Here is a 22121-nt window from a genome sequence, read left to right on the forward strand (position 1 = left end):
TGTGGAAGAAAAGTCAGGGATTTATGATACTTTATGTGGGAAACTTGGAAGGAGCATTTCCATTTATATCTTGTAAATGGTTAGTTTTTTTTTTTTTTTTCTCGACACAGAGTCTTGCTCTGTCGCCCGGGCTGGAGTACAGTGGAGCGATCTCGGCTCACTGCAATCTCCATCTCCTAGGTCCAAGCGATTCCCCTACCTCAGCCTCCTGAGTAGCTGGGTCTGCAGGCACATGCCACCACACCTAGCTAATTTTTTGTATTTTAGTTGAGACGGAGTTGCACCATGTTGGCCAGGATGGTCTCAATCTCCTGACCTTGTGTTCCGCCTGCCTCGGCCTCCCAAAATGCTGGGATTACAGGCGTGAGCCACTGCTCCCGGCCTAAATGGTTACTTTTTTACAATGAAAAATGAGGATTTCAGGTAGCTTAGAAAGAGAGAGGGAGAAACCAACAGGACAAAAAAACATTTATTCAGTTACTTTTTTTTTTTTTTGAGATGGAGTCTTGCTCTGTCGCCCAGGCTGGAGTACAGTGACGCAGTCTCAGCTCACTGCAACCTCCATCTCTCGGGTTCAAGCGATTCTCCTGCCACAGCCTCCCGAGTAGCTGGGATTACAGGCACCCGCCACATGCCCGGCTAATTTTTGTATTTTTAGTAGAGACGGGGTTTCGCCATATTGGCCAGGCTGGTCTTGAACTCCTGACCTCAGGTGACCCACCCGCCTCGGCCTCCCAAAGTGCTGGGTTTACAGGCGTGAGCCACCGTGCCCAGCCTAAGTGCCCTCTTTGTAAAGTCTGTCTTGTTCTACCTTTCCACACTACCTGGTATTAATTGGAAACTTTAAAGTACCCATTGATTGAAAATATACCCATCCTGGATACATTTTACACTGTATGATTATTTGTAATAGTGCTCCCAATTTTAGTAACAATTGTACAAAATAAAATGGACTCACATTCCAAAATCCTGAAAAGAAACTAAGCTATAAGAAAGTAAGAATTTAAGTTATAGGGAGTGGCTGGGCGCAGTGGCTCACACCTGTAATCTCAGCACTTTGGGAGGCCACGGCAGGCGGATCACCTGAAGTTGGGAGTTCGAGACCAGCCTGACCAACATGGAGAAACCGTCTCTACTAAAAATACAAAATTAGCCAGGTGTGGTGTCTCATGCCTGTAATCCCAGCTACTCCAGGAGTCTGAGGCAGAATTGCTTGAACCTGGGAGGCAGAGGTTGTGGTGAGCTGAGATCGTGCCATTGTGCTCCAGCCTGGGCAACAAGAGCAAAACTCCATCTCTAAATAAATAAATAAAAGAGAGAGAACAGCCGCATCAGGGTCCTGAGAGCACTACCTTTGGGAAACGCTCTTCAAATTTTAACTTTTTTTTTTTTAAATGTAATTTTAAAAATTATCAAAACAATATGGTTGCCTTTTAGAAATATTGGAAAATTGAGAAAAGAAAATTAAGTCACACCAGCCTACCACACGGTATAGCTACGGTCATAGCTGTATGAATCTCCTTTTACTTTTTCTGATGCTTATTATAACTAGTTTTAATAATAGCAAGTATATAATTTTGTATTTTATTTTTATAATTTAACATGTCAGTCACTTGTTGTTGCATTGTCTTCATAGCATTTGTTTGTTGGTTTGTTTTTTGAGATAGAGTCTTGCTCTGTCGCCCAGGCTGGAGTGCAGTGGTCTGACCTTGGCTCACTGCAACCTCCACCTCCTGGGTTCAAGGGATTCTCCTGCCTCAGTCTCCCGAGTAGCTGGGATTACAGGTGCCTGCGACCATGCTCAGCTAATTTTTGTATTTTTAGTAGAGAGGGGGTTTCACTATGTTGGCCAGGCTGGTCTCGAACTATTGACCTCAAGTGATCCACCTGCTTCAGCCTATCAAAGTGCTGGGATTACAGTTGTAAGCCACCACACCCAACCCTTCACAGCATATTTTGAAGTGACAGTGCCATATTTAATCAACCATTCCCTAATTGGGGGTGTGTGTGTGTGTATACATTGCTTCCAGTTGTTTATTACATAGGATAAGACGGACATCTTTGGACATAGCTCTATCCATATTTAAGATAGTTTTTTAGATTATTAGAGGTTGAAATACTGCATCAAAGCGTAGTATTTTTATGGGTTTTGATGCCTGTTGAGCTTGTTGTATTTTAAAAGAAGTGTTTCGGTTTGAATTCTTTATTTGCTTGCTTGTTGTGATTTTTTTTGTATATGTAAAGAAGTGTCTTTATGTACCTGTGTTTTCCCACTGCTCTTAATGCCCCCTCTCTCTTTTTTACCCCTATTCTAGGTTACATTGATTACCCACCTAGTACAACATCTTACGGGAAGAGCATAGTATTTCCTAGAGGAATATGAACATAACAGGAAGGTATCATTGGCTCTGAATTAAATTTGAACTTGTCCCCTGAATAGCTACAGGTTTTGGAAGCTGAATCAATGTTATCAGATGAGTTAGAATCCAAACCAGAGGTGAGCCCAGTCAGCTTGTTTCCTTTTCTTTTGGTGGGCTATATTTCAAAGTTTATCTTCAGTTTAGGGGGTCAGCAAACTTTTTCTTTAATGGGCCAGATAATAAATATTTTAGGTTTTTTAAGCTATATGGTTTTGATTGTTACTATTTTTTCAAAGATTTAAAAATTATATTTTTTGTGATTGTTTTTATATCTGTTTTTCAGTATATGTGAAATCATACATTTAGATAATGTAATAAAATCTTATAAATAAAAATATATGTTTATGTATAAATATATACATAAATATGAGATACATGTGATGTATAGGTGTATAAGTATATAAATATTTACTACTACAAATTCTTTTGTTTATTTTATATATATCTGTAAGTATTTTCTTTCTAAATGTGATTGGGGATTTAAACATTTTTTGTTGTTCACTTTTCTTACTTTAAATTTAGCACATCTGTGTTGCAGAGTGGTCACTGAATTTGGAATCAGATTACTTAAATTTGAGGATTGGCATTGCTCCTAACTAGTCTTGTGACCTTAGACAAGTCACTTAATGTCTTCAATTTTATTCCTCAGCTGTAAAATATGCCTTAAGTTTGGGTGCGGTGGCTCACGCCTGTAATCCCAGCACTTTGGGAGGCCGAGGCAGGTGGATCATGAGGTCAGGAGTTCAAGACCATCCTGCCTAACATGGTGAAACCCTGTCTCTACTAAAAATACAAAAAAAATTAGCTGGGCGTGGTGGCGGGCACCTGTAGTCCCAGCTACTTGGGAGGCTGAGGCAGGAGAATGGCGTGAACCCAGGAGGTGGAGCTTGCAGTGAGCCAAGATCATGCCACTGCACTCCAGCCTGGGCAACAGAGCAAGACTCTGTCTCAAAAAAAAATACATCTTAAATCTTACTGGGTTAATGCGATAATTAAATGAGCCAGTACACAGAAAAGTGTTTTGTAAAATGTAATCAATATGATGCAGTTGATTTTTTTTAAGCCATTATTTTAAAATGTAATTATTTTTATCATTTCTCTGTTTGACAGAAGGTGGCAGAGGTTAACTTAATTACAGTGAAGTGTCACTTAGCGATAGAGATACATTCTGAGAAATATGATGGTAGTTGATATCATTATTATGCGAACATGGTAGAGTATACTTACACAAACCTGTATGGTTTAGCCTGCTACACTCTAGGCTGTATGGTATACCTTATTGCCCCTAGGCTGCAAACCTATACAGCATGTTACTGTACTGAATACTGTAGGCAGTTGAAGCACAGTGGTAAACATTGTGTATCTAAACATATCTAAACGTGGAAAAAGTACAATAAAAATAGGATATTACAATCTCACAGGACCATCATCCTATATGTGGTCTGTTAACTGAAATGTCGTTTTGCAGCACATGACTTTATATAAATCAGCTGTTCTCTAGAACAGAGAACTTGATAAAATAACTTTAGATATTATGTTGTTTAGTTTTTGTTTGAATATGGATGAGACTAGTGAACAGTCTTAATATTATCTTTTGGTAAATTCAAAGGTTTAGATACATTTCTAACAACTCGTATTTCTCAGTGTTGTCTTTTCTCCCCCCAGCTCCTGGTACAGTTTGTTCAGAATACGTCCATCCCATTGGGACAGGGGCTTGTAGAATCAGAAGCTAAAGATATTACTTGCTTGTCCCTCCTTCCCGTGACTGAAGCCTCAGAATGCAGTCGGCTAATGTTACCAGGTAAAAATTAAGATCACTAGAAATAGGATAAAGAAGTCTTAAGAGCTTAGCCTACTCTATGTTACTGGTGGAATGAATATATCGTTTAATAACTGACTGGTGGAAACTGTAAAAATTAGGAGTCATGGAGAAAAAGCAACCATGAAATCATTAGTGCATTGGTAGTTTAAGCCATAGGAATGGATATGATCACCCAGAGAGTGTGAGAGTGGGGAAAAAAGGTCAGTGCAAAACTATGGAACTCTTTATTTAAGGTACAGGGTAGGGCAGGAGAACTTGTAAAGGAGGGAAGAAACAAAGACTAAAATAGTTGGATGAACATCAGCAGAGTGGAGGCATGAAACCCAGGAGAAATCATTGTATCAAATGCTACTGACAGGCCCAGTGAAATAGGGACTAAAAGGACTCCATTATTGACTTTGGCAGAACCTGTTCCATGGAGAGAAGAGGATGGAAAGTCAGGCTGCAGTGACTTGAGTATACATACTTGCTTTTTTTTTTTTTTTTGAGATGGAGTGTCACTCTGTCGCCCAGGCTGGAGTGTAGTGACGCAATCTTGGCTCACTGCAACCTCCGCCTCCCCTCCCAGGTTCAAGCTATTCTCCTGCCTCAGCCTCCTAAGTAGCTGGGATTACAGGTGCGTGCCACTATGCCTGGCTAATTTTTGCATTTTTAGTAGAAACGGGGTTTCACCATGTTGGCCAGGCTGGTCTTGAACTCCTGACCTCCAGTGATCAGTCCGCCTTGGCCTCCCAAAGTGCTGAGATTACAGGCGTGAGCCACTGCGCCAGGCCTATCAATACATACTTTCTAAAGTCTCTCCTGGTACGAGAAGGAAAAAGAGAAGGCGGTAAGATAGAGGGAAATTTTTTGTTTGTGTTAAGATCTGAGATATTTGAGGGTTGCTTTATGCTAAGGGGAAAGAACCAGTTAGAAAAGTTGAAGACAGGCCAGGTGTGGTGGCTCGTGCCTGTAATCCCAGCACATTGGGAGGCTGAGGCAGGAGGATAGCTTGAGCCCAGGAGATTGAGACCAGCCTGGGCAACATGGCGAGACCTCGTCTCTACAAAAAATTAAAAATTAGCTGGGCATGGTGGTGTGCAGCTGTAGTCCCAGCTGAGGTGGGAAGATCACTTGAGCCCAGGAGTTTGAGGCTGCAGTAAGCTGTGATCACACCACTGTACTCCATCCTGGGTGGATAGAGCAACACCCTGTCTAAAAGAAATAGTAATAAATTTAAAAAATATATGTATAAACAAACAATAATTAAGGAAATGAAAACAACAGCGTTCATCTTCCCTTAGAATGACTGTTATCTTAAAGATGGAAGATAACAAGTGTTGGTAAGGATATGGAGAAAAGGGAACCTTTGTACACTGTTGGTGGGAATGTAAGTTAGTACAGCCATTATGGAAACCGTATGGAAGTTCCTCAGAAAACTAAAAATGGAGCCACTATATGACCCAGCAATCTCACTTGTAGGTATATATCCAAAGGAATTGAAATCAGTAAGTCAAAGATGTCTATACTTACATGTTAATTGCAGCATTATTCACAATAACCAAGATATGGAATCAGCTTTAGTGTTCATCAACTAATGAATGCATTTAAAAAAAAATGCATTCACCTTCTTTTCCACATTTCTTTTAGTTTTAATTTTGATTTAAAGTATTTTAGACATACAAGTATAGATAAAAGTAAATGAAAATCCAAATACTTGGCCTCCCAGCTCATAAAACACAATATTACAGGCCGGGCGTGGTGGCTCATGCCTATAATCCCAGCACTTTGGGAGGCCGAGGTGGGTGGATCACTTAAGGTCAGGAGTTTGAGACCAGCCTGGCTGGTGAAACCCTCTCTACTAAAAATGCAAAAGTTAACCAGGTGTGGTGGCACAGAAAAAATAACCGCAGCCTGAGATACAACCATAGGTAAAAAGGTAATGGCAAAAACTGCAATAGCTTTTGCACCAACCTAATACAAAAGTTAAGGAGAGGGAGCTCTCTCCAGGAAAAATAAAATGTAGATCCTATTCTTGAGTTAGTATTCATTGTATAGCTATATTTTTCAAGGAGAAAGTACTGATTTCTGGCCTCAAAAAGGACTAAATTCTGTGATGTCCAAATGTTGAATGGTTGGTTATTCACCAACCATTACTGCCAAGTGACAGAGAATTCTGTTCCTCACGTTTTGGCTGACTGCCTTTGGAACATAAAGCCATCTCTCTGTTCTTCTGTGAGACAAAGTTTTTATTTGTGTAATGAGAATGCTGTCTGTTGCTATAAGGATGTTAGCTTCCAAGAGATGTTGGGTGCTGTGTATCAAAATGGTGGGCTCCTAGAGATAGGTGCTACATAAAGCTGTGGTATTTTCCCTTTACTAGATGATACTACAAATCATTCTAACTCCTCCAAGGAGGTCCCTTCCTCAGCTGTTTTGAGAAGCCTTCGGGTGAATGTGGGTCCAGACGGAGAGGAGACGAGAGCTCAGACTGTACAGAAATCCCCGGAGTTTTTGTCCACTTCAGAGTCTTCTAGCTTGTTGCAAGATCTACAGCCAAGTGATAGCACTTCTTTTATTCTTCTTAACCTAACAAGAGCAGGTATTCTTTCCTTTTTTTTGGGCTCTGCTTATGCCTAAGAAAAAAATTAGGGGTGGGGCATATTTAACTTAGTCATACTTAAAATAGAAAGAACCTTTATTATTTTATTATTTTGGAGAATTGGTGTGTCTGGTGACCATTTGAATATGTAGAGGGAGAGGGAGGACTCTAGTATGACTCATATCTTGTTTGGGAAATTATGTAGTGCCATTTACTGAGATCGCACAGGAAGAGCAAGGCTTGGGGGAGGATGATTAGTTCCAATTTGCACCTATTTATGTTGAGATTTTGGAGGTATATTCAGGAGGACATGTCCTTTAGAGAGTTAGAAACATGAATCCAGAGTTCTAGAAAGGTCTGTTTTGGTGCTTATCAGCATTCAGGAAACGTATGAAACAATGAACATGGATTCTAGAGAAGTCTCAAGCATAAACAGAAAAGAAGGCAAGTCTGGGACCCTGGGAAAAAACATTTAAGAGGACAACAGAACAGGAAGGAGCAGCTGGAAGGGGATGAAGAGAACTGGGAGAGAGTGGTAGCAGGGAAGCCAAGGGAGGAAGAAGTTTTAAGGCAGAAAAGATACTAAATCATGCCAAATACTACATGATGGGCTTATTAGTGAGAAGAAGTGTGTGTCTGGTGACCCTAGCAAGAGCAATTGTTACTGTGGTAGCTGAGGTAGAGGCCAGGGTTAAAGAGATGGGGAGTGGATGGGAGGTAAGACAATAGATACACAAGTTAGAAGGTACACTTGTTCAAGAAGCTTGACTTTAAAGGAACAGGGAAGAAGGTAAATAGCTAGAGAAGTACTTGGGGTTTTCTAATTCTTTTTAAAAATAAGGGTGAGAGACTTGAGTTAGGACATATTTAAAGACATAAGGAAATGCTGGCCGATAGAGAGGAACTAGTTGCAGATAGGAGAGAGGAGATAACACAAGTATATATGGGGGGATAATTGAAGAATGAGAATGAAATACAGTAGGTGGGGATTAGTCTGGTTGACCAAGAAAGACAGCTTTGCCTTGAAACCAGAGGAGGCAAGGTAATGACAAGCCTGTAGACTAAAGGTAGAAAGATGATAGCCTGCTCTTCAGTGAGAAGTTTGAGGTAAAAGGCGAAGGTCAGGAATAGCTTATTTAGGACATGGAGAGTTTCTGGGCCAGGCGCAGTGGCTCACGCCTGTAATCCCAGTACTTTGGGAGGCCGACGTGGGCGAATCACGAGGTCAGGAGTTCAAGACCAGCCTGACCAACATGGTGAAACCCCGTCTCTACTAAAAATACAAAAATTAGCCGGGCGTGGTGGTGCATGCCTGTAATCCCAGCTACTCAGGAGGCTGAGGCAGGAGAATCACTTGAACCTGGGAAGCGGAGGTTGCAGTAAGCCGAGATTGCGCCACTGCACTCCAGCCTGGGTGACAGAGCGAGACGCCGTCTCAAAAAAAAAAAAAAAAAAAGGGACATGGAGAGTCTCTGAGCCAGGGCAAATAAAAAGCTTGCTTGGTTTCTAACTTTTCATATATTTTGTTTCTTCCAGGTCTGGGCTCTTCAGCTGAGCACTTAGTGTTTGTACAGGATGAGGCAGAAGATTCAGGGAATGATTTCCTCTCCAGTGAGAGCACAGACAGTAGCATTCCATGGTTCCTCCGGGTTCAGGAGTTGGCCCATGACAGTTTGATTGCTGCTACTCGTGCACAACTGGCAAAGAATGCAAAAACCAGCAGCAATGGTGAGGCCCGTCGGCATTTTCCTTGCCACTATTCTGTGCAAAGAGATTTTGGTAATGCAGTGGCTGGTTTGAGTTGTATATAATTTAAATTATTCTATTGATGAGAGCAGAAGGCTAGAAATCTGTAAATTGTTTAAATTTTATTTTCTATAAAATAACTTGGTCATGCCAGATTTGTGTTCAAAACCAACTAGTATTCTGAATTCTCAACTTTAAATAATGTACAGAGCCCCTTTTAAAGAAAAAATAATATACATCCTGGGGTTTGAATTGTTTTTATTGTAATGTCTCTTAAATATGCAAAAACATAAATTCTGTGTAAACTTCATATACTTAGAGCTCTTATACCATCATGAAATCAAAACAGTTTTTATCAGTTAATAGGAATAAAACTACCAAATCCATGAAAATAAAAATAACATTAAGTCATTGTGGCAGAGGATTATGTTTTGCTGAAACTAAATTGCTGCTCATGGCAGTTTAACAATTAGCTATGATGGTTTTAATGCTTTTTCTTTTCAGTTCAGCATGCCTATACTACTTACTCTGTGTCACTTTTCTCTGTTCTAGTAATTTTCAAAGCATTGTCACTGGATCATTGACGTCACGTGGGAACTGAGAAATATAAACTCTCAGGCCCATGCCAGACCTACTGAGTCAAAAACTTGGTTCTGATACATGTTAAAGCTTGAGAACCACGGCTCTATTCAGACCACTGCAGAATCTTTGCTTATGTAGCATGTCATGGATACTTTTTTAGGTCTGCCTCTGTGTTTTCTCATTAACATGTGACACAACTCAATACAACATGGTTTAATGCTATCATTATCACAAACTAAGCTTAAGCACTTAGTACACAGTTGTTTGGAGTTTATGCAGATTATCTAGTATATGCTTATTATTATTTTTTGATTACCATTCAAATGAAAATAAAAAGTTAAAATTTCTCATAGAGAACTAGAGTTCCCTATGAATATTTTGAAACATTAAATCTTTTTTTTTTTTGGTCTTTTTTTTTCCCTTTTTATGGAGAATGAGGTTTTGCTCTGTTGCCAGACAGGTCTCAAACTCCTGGACTCAGGGTCTCCTCCTGCCTCTGGCTCCCTAAGTGCTGGGATTTTAGGTGTGAGCAACCATCCCCAGCCAAACTCTAAACTGTTTGTTTTCAAAATACTTAGTTCTGTTTATGACTACCATAGTGCTACTTAGAATGGTTCATTTTAACATTTTGGTGGGACCCTTAAAGTTCAGATTCTTCCTGAGATATATGTGCCAATCTCCAGATGCTGAAACCTTCAGCATTTCCTCTTACATTGAAGAAATAGTGTCATATTTGCCAATGAGAAGCAGCGTAGGGAGGGGAGCTTGCAATTTAGAATCTGGGAGCCCTGGGATCCAGGCCTGGCACCATCATTTACTGGTTCCCTGCCTTGGGCAGTTTAACCTCCCTTAGCTTCAATTTTCTTACGATCTGAACATAGAGATCAGGCAGCTTTCCTGACTGGCTTGTTATGGAGATTATGTAACATTCTATCTGGGAAATGTTATAATCAGCAAAGCATTGTGTGGATGTTTTTCTTACTCTCAAAGTATGTTGCCTTACTATCTTAACAACTACTTTGTATGCCTGAATATAAAATCACCCCAAATAGGCTGGGCATTGTGGCTCATGCCTGTAATCCCTGCACTTTGGGAGGCCGAGGCAGGCAGATCATCTGAGGTCAGGAATTCGAGACCAGCCTGACCAACGTGGAGAAATCCCGTCTCTACTAAAAATACAAAATTAGCTGGGCGTGGTGGCGCATGCATGTAATCCCAGCTACTCAGGAAGGCTGAGACAGAACTGCTTGAACCCGGGAGGTGGAGGTTGCAGTGAGTGGAGATCGCACCACTGCACTCCAGCCTGGGCAACAAGAGCGAAACTTGGTCTCCCAAAAAAAAAAAAAATCACCCCAAATATAAGACAATCTTTTATTTTCCAACAAGATAATACCCTAAAAGCCTTTTATTTTTTTCTAACTTAGTTATGTAAACTTTTAAGCATGTAGATAAAATTAACATTATAGGTTGCTATTTGGAAGCTTTATGATTTTGGTTATACATACACATTTTAATTTTTTTTTTTTTTTTGAGACCGAGTCTCAGTCTGTCGCCCAGGCTGGAGTGCAGCGGCGCAATCTCGGCTCACTGCAAACTCTGCCTCCTGGGCTCAAGTGATTCTCTGCCTCAGCCTCCCGAGTAGCTGGGACTACATGTGCATGCCACCATGCCCAGCTAATTTTTGTATTTCTAGTAGACACAGGGTTTCACCGTGTTGGCCATGGCTGGTCTCAAACTCCTGACCCAAGGTGATCTGCCTGCCTCTGCCTCCCGCAGTGCTGGGATTACATGCGTGAGCCACCGTGCGTGGTCCCACATATACATTTTAAATCATATGAAATATATCAATATTGCTTTCACCCACTAACACAAGCTTGTCCAACATACGGCCTGTGGGCACGTGTGGCCCAGGATACCTTTGAATGCAGCCCAACACAAATTCGTAAACTTTCTTAAAACATTATGAGATTTTTTTGTTTGTTTGCTTTTAAAGCTCACCAGCTGTCATTAGTATTAGTATATTTTATGTGTGGTCCAAGACATTTCTTCTTTCAGTGTGGCTCAGGGAAGCCAAAAGATTGGACACCCTTGCACTAACATGTAATGAAGTGATTTTATTCAATATTTTAATGCATTTTTAACATAAATATTTTTGTCATTGTTGACACTGAAGTCACTTTATGAGTCCTCTAGCATAGTTTTTCAGAGCATGTTATCTTCACTTACAGTCTAAGTTGTTTGAAATACAGAAACGTTTTAATTTTGCATAAGATGTTGTATATCAGATCAGCAAAGGCCTTTGGGCCAAATCCCCACCTGTTTTTATAATTAAAGTTTTATGGGAACATAGGCATCCACATTACTTACAAATTGTCTAAGGCTGCTACTATGGCAAAGCTGAGTAGTTGTAACAGAAACCATACGGCAGCCGGGCGCAGTGGTTCACACCTATAATCCCAGCACTTTGGGAGGCCAAGGTGGGCAGATCACTGGAGGTCAGGAGTTCAAGACCAGCCTGGCCAACATGATAGAACTCAAATACACTCTTTTCTGAGGGATTTTTTTTTTTTTTTAGGGAAAAATTTGCGTTATATTTATTTGACCATATATTGATAATCTTCATTCTTGAGCAGGAGGAGTTTCAGTGATTTCTTAGCCTTGCCTTATTCTATGTATTCATTTTTCCTATTTTATGATTATATTAATATTCTTATTGTATCTATAAAACGGAATCCAGAAAGCCCCTACTATCACTGATTTGAATCACTGTATTAGCATGATTTTTTTGGCCGGTGCAGTGGCTCATGCCTGTAATCCCAGCACTTTGGGTGGCCGAGGCGGGTGGATCTGTTGAGCTCAGGAGACCAGCCTGGGCAACATGGCAAAACCCCATCTCTACAAAAAAAAAATAGAAAAAATTAGCCAGGTGTGGTAGTGCACACCTGTCTCTAGTCCCAGCTACTTGGGAGGCTGAGGTGGGAGGATCTCCTGAGTTGGGGAGGTCGAGGCTGCAGTGAACCGAGATCATGCCACTGGATTCCAGCCTGGGCAACAAAATGAGACCCTGTCTCAAAAAAAAAAAAAGAAAAAATTTAAAAGAAAAAAGCATGATGTTAACAGACCTTTCATTAGAAATCAATTAGCTGGAGTTCTGGGGTTGGTGGGAAGATTCCTTCACGGCATATGTATTTTTGTGCTATATGTGTAGTTTTTTTTTTTTTTTTGAAACGGAGTCTCGCTCTGTCGCCCAGGCTGGAGTGCAGTGGCGCGATCTCGGCTCACTGCAAGCTCCACCTCCTGGGTTCACGCCATTCTCCTGCCTCAGCCTCCCGAGTAGCTGGGACTACAGGCTCCTGCCACCATGCCTGGCTAATTTTTTTTTTTGTATTTTTAGTAGAGACGGGGTTTCACTGTGTTAGCCGGGATGGTCTGGATCTCCTGACCTCATGATCCACCCACCTCGGCCTCCCAAAGTGTTGGGATTACAGGCGTGAGCCACTGCGCCTGGCCCTGATATTTTTCAAGTAAACACATTTTTAAAAACCTTGGGGCAATATTAAAGAAAAACTTAATAGTAACTAGCAGGAAGCATCCTAGGTTCTGCTCTGACCTTGGAGCAATTAGTTTTATGACTAGTATTTGGTAAAGTATAGCAAGGAGAAGATTAATAGATGGGACAGAAACTGCCTTTGATTAACCATCAGGTTCTAGGGGCTGTGATAGGCACAACATATATATTCTACTTTTGGCTATTGAGGGGGAAATTTGGAGATACAAATCTTATTGCTAAGGTATATATAGTGGAAAGATACACTGCCTGCATATGCTCATGGCAGAATTAAATGACTATTAATTTTTTTCTCTATTGATGTTCAAGTATTTCTTGAAGAAAGTGAAAGAAAAGGACCACCACCTGCTAATCTGGAATTTATATAAAAATTTTTAAGTAACTGATTTTGTTTACATTTAAGGGAGGCACTTTGTACTCCTCTCCTCACCTCTCTTTATTCTGTTGAACAAAACTCCAGTAGATATTTTCTCTTACTTTTTAAAATGTGGTTAGAAATTTAAAAATCATCTGAGTTTTTGAATTCCTTAAGTATTTTATAACTAAAGAAGGGTGGTACAGGAAATTGGAAGGTGGTTCTTAGTTTGCAGAATGACAAGAAATAGCCAAATTCCTTTCAGAAGATGGAAATCTAAAAATGGCTGTCAGAGCCCACACTGAACCAGAATGACTACTTCTTCTTAAAATACAGTGGGATTTTTTGTTTGTTTGTTTTTGAAACAGGGTCTTACTCTGTTGCCCAGACTGGAGTGCAGTGGTGCAATCTCGGCTCACTGCAGCCTCCGCCTCCCGGACACAAGCAAAATACAGAGTTTTTATTACTCAGAACTTTGTCATCTTTGTAGCACCCTACTCAGGGATAGTGTTGCTATCCCTGCTTCTCCACCAAACTGTGTAATGCAAAATGGTTTTAATTCTGATTTCTAATAGCAAACCATTTTGGATATCTCTTACATTTGTCAAAGAGGCCTAGTCTTGTGAAACAAAGCATGATAGTTTTTGGTAGTTTTTCTGGAGTAAGGGAATGAGGATGTAGAACACTTGCATTTCTATTGTTTCATTATATTTATTTATTTTTTGACAGATTCTTGCTCTGTCACCCAGGCTGGAGTGCAATGGTGCAGTCACAGCTCACTATAGCCTCAACCTCCCAGGCTTAAGTGATCTTCCTGCCTCAGCCTTGGAGCCTCAACTACAGGACTGCGCCACCATGCCTGTCTAATTTTTGTTTGTTTGTTTGTTTGTGTTTTGTAAAGATATGGTTTCACCATGTTGCCCATGCTAGTCTCGGAACACCTGGGCTCAAGCAGTCCTCCCACCTTGGCTTCCCAAAGTGCTTGGGATTATAGGTGTGAGCACCATGCCTGGCCAAGTTTCTGCTGTTAAGTGCATACAAAGATAACTGGGGAAGATGAAGATAGATACCTGATTAATGATCACTAGGAGTAAAATATAGGAGCTTTATTGTTTGAGCCTAAGTATCTGAGTAGGGTCTTTCCCTGGATTACAAATATGTGACTCTGTTACAGGAGAAAATGTCCACCTTGGTTCTGGTGATGGGCAGTCAAAAGATTCTGGGCCCCTTCCTCAAGTGGAAAAGAAGCTCAAGTGTACAGTTGAAGGTTGTGACCGGACATTTGTATGGCCAGCTCACTTTAAATACCACCTCAAGACTCATCGGTGAGCAAATCCGAGATCTCATATTTGGATATACGTTGATGCAAAAGTTGATTCTTCCAGAGGAACTTGCCCCTCAGGTTGACAAATTACAGGAAAGTAGGGACTCCAGTTAACTTCTGGTTAAGATATCTTTTTTTCTTTAATAGAAGGATTTGCATTGTCTCATTTATCTCATTCTTGATAAATATTTAATAAGACATTTGGGACCTAAAGGCCTTAAACCAAGAGTTCTCAAATTTTATTATAAAACATATTTCCTTTGAGAACTTAAAAGTAACAAATAAGCATGGGCTCCTACCTTGAACCTATGAGATCAGTTTAAGGGGTGGTGCTAGGCATCTGTAGTTTTTTGTTTGATTTTTTTTGTTTAAGAGACAGGATCTCACTTTGTCACCCAGGGTGGAGTACAGTGGCGCCATCATAGCTCACTGCAGCCTCGAACTCCTGTGCTCAAGTCATCTTCCTACCTCAGCCTCACTTGGGATTACAGGCTTGCACCACCACACCTGGCTAATTAAAAAAACATTTTTTAAAGACAGGGTCTCGCTATGTTGCCCAAGCTGATCTCAAACTCCTGGGCTCAAGTAATCTTCCTGCCTCAGCCTCCAGAGTAGCTGGGATTACAGGCGTGAGCCACCACCCAGCTATAGTTTTAACAAAGTCTTCAGTTGATTCTGATATATCCAGTTTTTGGACTTACTGTTTGCCTTGAGAGTCAATAGGGGCTTTGACTTGTCATCTCTAGCAAAGAGTGTTTTCAGATATTTTTCCTTATGTGATTATTTTTGCAGAAATGACCGCTCCTTCATCTGTCCTGCAGAAGGTTGTGGGAAAAGCTTCTATGTGCTGCAGAGGCTGAAGGTGCACATGAGGACCCACAATGGAGAGAAGCCCTTTATGTGCCATGAGTCTGGCTGTGGTAAGCAGTTTACTACAGCTGGAAACCTGAAGAACCACCGGCGCATCCACACAGGTGTGTGCAGCACCAACATTCCTTTGGGCAGTCTGCTCCTTGGCTCTGCATGTTTGCCTCTCCTTAGGAAAGACTCAAGTGGGAATAGAAATGAAGGTCTGGGGTTGTTGCTAGAACTCTGAAGATGGGATTTCTTTTTCAAATGACTTGTTGCACTTATAATAACATTTATTGTATTTTTACCTGTGTGTGTAGAGTAGACAGTGTTGATTTCTGTTTTCAGGAGCCTAACCTGCAGGGAGAGCTGTAAGACCTTCTCAGACAACAATGATGTGGGGAGATGTGGACAAAATCAGTCTGTGTTCAAATCTTTCTGAACACTGCGCAGTTATGATTTTGGGCAGTAACATTTACTGAGTCACACAAACCATACAGAACCTGTTCTAGGCACTAAATGGGGCAGGGTGGGAAAAAAATACAAAAGATAAGATATAATCCCTGACTTTCTTGTTAGAGCCTCACAACGTGAGAAACAGAATAGAGAAGTGAATTATTCTGGGTCACACAGTATGTTAATATCACAGGAGCAAAATAAAGATTCCTTGACTCTTAATCTAAGAGTCTAAGGGTGATTTTCCAAGCCACTTGGTCCAGCGTGAGCTAGTCTCTAGCCAAAGTATAATCACTGAACCCACACCACTCTTAGAATGTGTAACTATTCTTCCCCACTTACTTGCCACTTTGACTCTTCTTGATTCTTGCATTGGCAAAATGACAGCAGGTAAAATTAAAAGGCATATATATGGCATATATAAAATGCATATATAAAAATATAAGGCATATATAAAATATAAAAATAAAAGGCATATATATACATACATATATACACATACATATATATACACATACATACATATATATACACACACACACACACACACACACATATATATATATATATATATATATATACACACATACTTTTTTTTTTTTTGAGATGGAGTCTTGCTCTGTTGCCAGGCTGGAGTGCAGTGGCGAGATCTCGGCTAACTGCAAGCTCCACCTCCTGGGTTCATGCCATTCTCCTGCCTCAGCCTCCTGAGTAGCTGGGACTACAGGCACCCGCCACCAGGCCTAGCTAATTTTTTTTGTTTGTATTTTTAGTAGAGACAGAGTTTCACCGTGTTAGCCAGGATGGTCTCGATCTCCTGACCTCGTGATCTGCCCTCCTCAGCCTCCCAAAGTGCTGGGATTACAGGCTTGAGCCACTGTGCCCAGCCTATACTTTTTTTTTTTAATTAGTCAAATGCAGTAGTGAGAAGAGGGGAAAAAGTAAAACAAGGCACTTGATCTGTAACTGACTGTGAACATCAGTTGAGATAACTCACTACCTTCAGACCAGCCCATTGTTGTAGCATTTGATACCTCTGAACATCATCTTAAAATGCTTTCTTTTTTCTTATTTATTTATTTTTGAGACGGAGTCTCACTCTGTCGCCCAGGCTGGAGTGCAGTGATGCGATCTCAGCTCACTGCAACCTCTGCCTCCTGGGTTCAAGCTTTTCTCATGCCTCAGCTTCCCAGTAGCTGGGATTACAGGTGTGCACCACCACGCCCAGACATTGTTGTATTTCTTGTAGAGACCGGGTTTTGCCATGTTGGCCAGGCTGTTCTCGAATTCCTGACCTCAAGTGATCCGCCGACCTTGCCCTCCCAAAGTGCTGAGATTATATATGTGAACCACCACGCCCAGACTTAAAATGCTTTTACTTCAAAATATGACCTGATTTTCCCGTTGTTTTTTTTTCTCTAATTCTTTCTAGCTTTTATCTCTGTTAATCTCTGAATGTTTCACCAGTTTCAGAATTTCTTGTTCCTTCTCTTTTACTCAGTGTACTCTCTTGTCATAATCTCAGGCCTCTATTTAATTATTTCTCCCTAGATGCCTCACAGATCTGAATCTCAATAATAATTAATATAATAATAAAAGTTAGCATTTGTTGAGGCACTTTAGTATGTACCAACCACATATACATTATCTCATTTAATCTTTAAGGTAACTTTATGCATTAGATACTGTACTTATTGATAAAGGAACAGAAGATTAGAGAGAGAAGTAACTTGCCCAACATCATGCAGGTAGGAAATGGCAGAGCTGGAATTTGAATTCTGATATGACCCCAAAGCTCTTCCAAGGATTTTATTTTTAAATGCTGACAACTCAGTTTATCTCAAATGTCAAAATTGACCTCAAAGCTTTATTAGTAGTAATGATAGTAAAGCTGCAGTTCAGGTCGGGCCCAGTGGCTCACACCTGTAATCCCAGCACTTTGGGAGGCTGAGGTGAGCACATCACTTGAGGGCAAGAGTTCGAGACCAGCTTGGCCAACACGGTGAAACCCCATCTCCACTAAAAATACAGTTAGCCAGGCATGGTGATGGGTGCCTGTAATCCCAGTTACTCGGGAGGCTGAGGCAGGAGAAGTGCTTGAACTCGGGAGTTAGAGGTTGCAGTGAGCCGAGATTGCGCCACTACACTCCATCCTAGGAGACAGAGCGAGACTCCATCTCAAAAAAAAAAATTTTGACTGGGTGCAATGGCTCATGCCTGTAATCCCAGCACTTTGGGAGGCCGAGGCGAGTGGATCACCTGAGGTCAGGAGTTCCAGACCAGCCTGACCAACATGGTGAAATCCCATCTCTACTAAAAATACAAAAATTAGCTGGGGCATGGTGGCACATGCCTGTAATCCCAGCTACTAGGGAGGCTGAGGCAGGAGAATCGCTTGAACCCAGGAGACAGAGGATGCAGTGAGTGGAGATTGTGCCATTGTACTCCAGACTGGGCAACAAGAGCGAAACTCTGTCTTGAAAAAAAAAAAAAAAAGTAAATCTGTTAATTCAGTGGCTTACTATGAGGGCTTACTATGTGCCAGGCACTATGCTGAATATTTACCTGGTATTATTTAATCCTCAAAACACTCTTTTGAAATTGTATTATCTCCATATTGTAGATGAAAAGCTGATTTTTAGAGAGATTAAACACCTTCCCCATGCAAATAAGTGGTAGTGCCAGGATCTGAAGTCAGAATTGGATTAACAGACCCCAAAGGCCATGTTTTTCACCATTTTGCTGCATTGTCTTTTAAACCTCTTCCTTCTCCTGTGTCCGTTATCCCAGTGAAATAACCATCCTCTCAAGTTTCCAAATAGGCAGGTATGTCCCCTAACCAGCTTGATGCAGAGATTTCATGCCATTACATTCTTATGTAGAATCTTTTTCTAAATCCTTTTTGTTTTTTCAGTTCTTTAGTTCATCTTTTGAAACATTTGATCTTGTTATTACTAAAATTTTTTTTTTACATTTGTTCTGTTATATATATTAGTATATTGCTCATTCTTTCAATAACTTTTTGAGTACCTAGCATTCTGAGGGATGAGTATACAATTAAAACATTGAAAAAAGCTACCGGTGGAGAGTCTCAAACATTAAACTGTGTGGTACAGTCTAAAAGAATAGTATAATCTAGCAGTGCTGTTCCCTCCCAGAAAGCTCAGCTCCCATATTGTCACTGTGCCAGCCTTACTAGCCATTTTCTGAACTTTCCCCGGGCACTCTGTTTCAAGGCTCTGCTCACAGTATTCCTGGTGCCTGAAATTTCCTTCCATCCTTGTCATCTTTTAGATGAACTCAGAAATTCAGCTGCTTACAAAAATTACTGCAACGGAGCACTTTTTTTTGTATTTATGAATTCATTTGTCTGTCTCACACTAGTTTGTGACCCTTGGAGGATAGAGACTGCATCTTTTTTGTTTGTTTGTTTTTTTGTTTGAGACAGGGTCTCTCTCTCTGTAGCCCAGGCTTGAGCCCAGGAATTTGAGATCAGCCTGGGAAACATAGTGAGACTTCCTCTCCAAAAAAATTATACTTTTAGATGGATCTACAAACTGAGTCATAAAGAAAATTGATGTAAGGTAAAAATCCTGACAGCATATACAGTATTAATCTTGATATCCTCAGATGGTGGGAGTCACTGAAGAAGGTAGGTTAATGCAACTCTCCAGCTCTTGGGCCAGGAGGGAGAAGGAAATATAGGCTTACATTCCAAGGAAAAGGGCAAGGCTGTCTGGTGGCATATATACTAAAAGATCATTGAGAGGCAACACTTGCTAGGTAGCCCAGTTGAAATTATAACATGAATTAAATAAATCAGAGTAGGTAAGTCATTAGACTCTGAATAAAGTTGGTGGGAAAAGAGAGTAACAGGTAATCAGTTCATCAGAAGACTGAGTCTTTATCTCATTTTCTGTCTCTAGGAGAGAAACCTTTCCTTTGTGAAGCCCAAGGATGTGGCCGTTCCTTTGCTGAGTATTCTAGCCTCCGAAAACATCTGGTGGTTCACTCAGGTATCAGAACCTCTGCCATTCATAGATTTTAGGAAAAGTAGACAAAAGAATAAAAGGGTTGTGGGGGTGATATAAAGACAACTAAAAAGAAACAAACTGTTCACTATAAAGATAGAAAGCTTCTCATCATCATGACAGAATCAGAAATCAAGGCCCTTAATTCTTATAATCAAGGTTGGGGGGGGGACATCTAATTATTATTTTCAGCTGTGTTTCTAATAAAGCCTTCTTTTGAAGAGATCAGCAAATTTGTTTGGCACTCTGCTGGGTGCTTTATAAGTTACATAAAACATGGACCCTCTTCTTTAGGAATTGACATTTTTATCCTTGGGGAGGATTTCATATCAGAAGAAAGTAAAAAGACTGATATAAGTTGTAGCAGCACCAGTAATATTACTGCCTTCTGAGCAGGTGTTAGTGATCCTGCTTGAGTCACCATTTTGGCAGAAACTATGCCTTTGGCAAACAGAACCACAAACCTTATCATTGCAGATGTGGAGAAGAGAAAAGAGGAGTAAGATTTAGTGACCCATTTTCTGTTTGGAGCCTTAAATTAATTCCCTGCAATTCTGTCAGTTTGCTCACTCTGTGCAGATATATCTCATCCTCTCAACCAGAAGTCAGGTACAGCGCAGGGAAAAGCCTGTATCTTGTTAGAAGGACTTTTTTCCTGTAGGACATGGTGATTTACTTGGAAAACAAGATGGGGAAGGTAGTTTAAGAAGGGCCTAAAATGCCAGGAAGGAGAGTTTGTGGAGCCTACTGGAGGTACAACCTGATGAGAACTTGGCTTACTGAAGATTTATCTGGCAGTGATGCAGAAGCTAAACTAAAACAGGAAGAGATGAGAAGACTTTTTTTCAGTCTGGTCAAGAAGTCTGCTCCAGTGTAGTGGCAGGGAGCATGGAAAGAGACCCAGTGGAAGAATCTGTTCAACTCCACAAATGATTGGCTGGCTATAAAGTTATACAGCAATGGAGGCAGCAGGTGAGGATTATTGATGAATAATCAATAATCAGAAGCATGGTAGTGGCCTGGCGTGGTGGCTCACGCCTGTAATCCCAACACTTTGGGAGGCCGAGGCAGGTGGATCACTTGAGGTCAGGAGTTCGAGACCAGCCTGACCAACATGGTGAAACCCTGCTGAGATTAGCCTACTAAAAAAATAAAAAATTATCCGGGCATGGTGGCACATGCCTGTAATCCCAGCTACTTGGGAGGCTGAGGCAGGAGAACTGCTTGAACCTGGGAGGCAGAGGTTGCAATGAGCTGAGATTGCACCGTTGCACTCCAGCCTGGGCAACAAGAGCGAAACTCCGTCTCAAAAAAAAAAAAAAAAAAAAGCATGGTAGTTTCAGGAGGTTGAGGCTGCAGTGAGTTGTGATTGCGCCACTGCACTGCAGCCTGGGTGACAGGGCGAGACCCTGTCTCAAAAAAAAAAAAAAAAAAGTGGTAGTGAAGATAAGGAGGGAAAGGGGGCTTTCCAGTTGTCAGGCTGACTCACATATTTATAAGAGGGGTTAGAAAAATGTTGGATGATGAGTGCTAGAGGGGCTCTGTAGACTAGCCTTGTAAGTTTGTTGGAGGTGAGAAAATTCCTGGCACACAACAGCTTTTTAGAATTTGTTGATTGAACCAATTAGAATGAATAAAAGGATTGCTAAGTAACAGTGAATGAGGACATAGCTGAGAGTAAGTAGCATAACTTTTTTTAGTAGACCTGTTCAGATTTTATTACTTTTCTCTGCTACTGCTTAACAGTTTAAAAGCTGGGTACTGGAGAAAATAGGTGATGGAGGTTAATCAGAGCAGAGGCTTGCTGAGGAAGAGATGAACTCAAGGAGGAGAGGGATTCTAGAATGGAATCAGGTCATTGTTGAATGACTGGCCGTGGGAAACAAGGGGAAGCCAGAACATGACAAGTGGAGAGGAGGAACTGGAAAGTTACTTATGAGGAAAGCAAGCTACTGCAGCAGGAGCAAGGAAGTTGGAGAGTTATAAACAATCAGGGATGTACATTTCAGAGTTGAGATCTTAGAAGTAGAGCAGTTTTTTAATATGATGACAAGTTCTAAGCAGAGGTGGCAAACTGGTATCCTGTAGGCTAGATGTGGACTTCAGATGTGTTTTGCTTGGATTGTAGAGCGTTTTTATTTTACTTTACTGTGTCAGATTATGTGAAAGATTCACCAAAGTAGAGAAATTTTTTTTTATATAGCAACAGTGGTGTTATACCTGTCAAAATTAATATTTCCTTGGTTTTATCTTATAACCAATCCATGTTCAGTTTTTTCTACTTGTTTCGAAAATGTCTTTTAAAGTTGGTTTGTTTAAATCAGGATCCAACAAGATCCAATATTATATTTGGTTATTAAGTCTTTAAAAATCTAGATCTTTCTACA

The 22121-nt window shown here is 40.7% G+C and overlaps 1 protein-coding gene across 6 annotated transcripts in view; it reads left to right on the top strand.

Moving 5' to 3' along the window:
- The window catches only part of ZNF410 (zinc finger protein 410), a 45663-nt gene that overhangs the window by 2853 nt on the left and 20689 nt on the right, over positions 1 to 22121 (top strand). For 2 of the 6 annotated variants that reach the window (NM_021188.3, NM_001242926.2), the window contains exons 2-8: positions 2316 to 2497; positions 4086 to 4221; positions 6605 to 6823; positions 8360 to 8551; positions 14249 to 14399; positions 15191 to 15372; positions 19630 to 19719. In NM_021188.3, the coding sequence (NP_067011.1) occupies positions 2465 to 2497; positions 4086 to 4221; positions 6605 to 6823; positions 8360 to 8551; positions 14249 to 14399; positions 15191 to 15372; positions 19630 to 19719 (1003 nt within the window). In that variant the 5' untranslated portion in view covers positions 2316 to 2464. Of the gene's footprint in view, positions 1 to 2315; positions 2498 to 4085; positions 4222 to 4647; positions 4699 to 6604; positions 6824 to 8359; positions 8552 to 14248; positions 14400 to 15190; positions 15373 to 19629; positions 19720 to 22121 lie in introns of all 6 variants that reach the window. The other 4 variants (NM_001242924.2, NR_040251.2, NM_001242928.2 and 1 more) reach the window with 4 other exon arrangements.

The sequence above is a fragment of the Homo sapiens genome, chromosome 14 (assembly GCF_000001405.40).
Source record: "Homo sapiens chromosome 14, GRCh38.p14 Primary Assembly".
Classification (NCBI taxonomy): domain Eukaryota; kingdom Metazoa; phylum Chordata; class Mammalia; order Primates; family Hominidae; genus Homo; species Homo sapiens.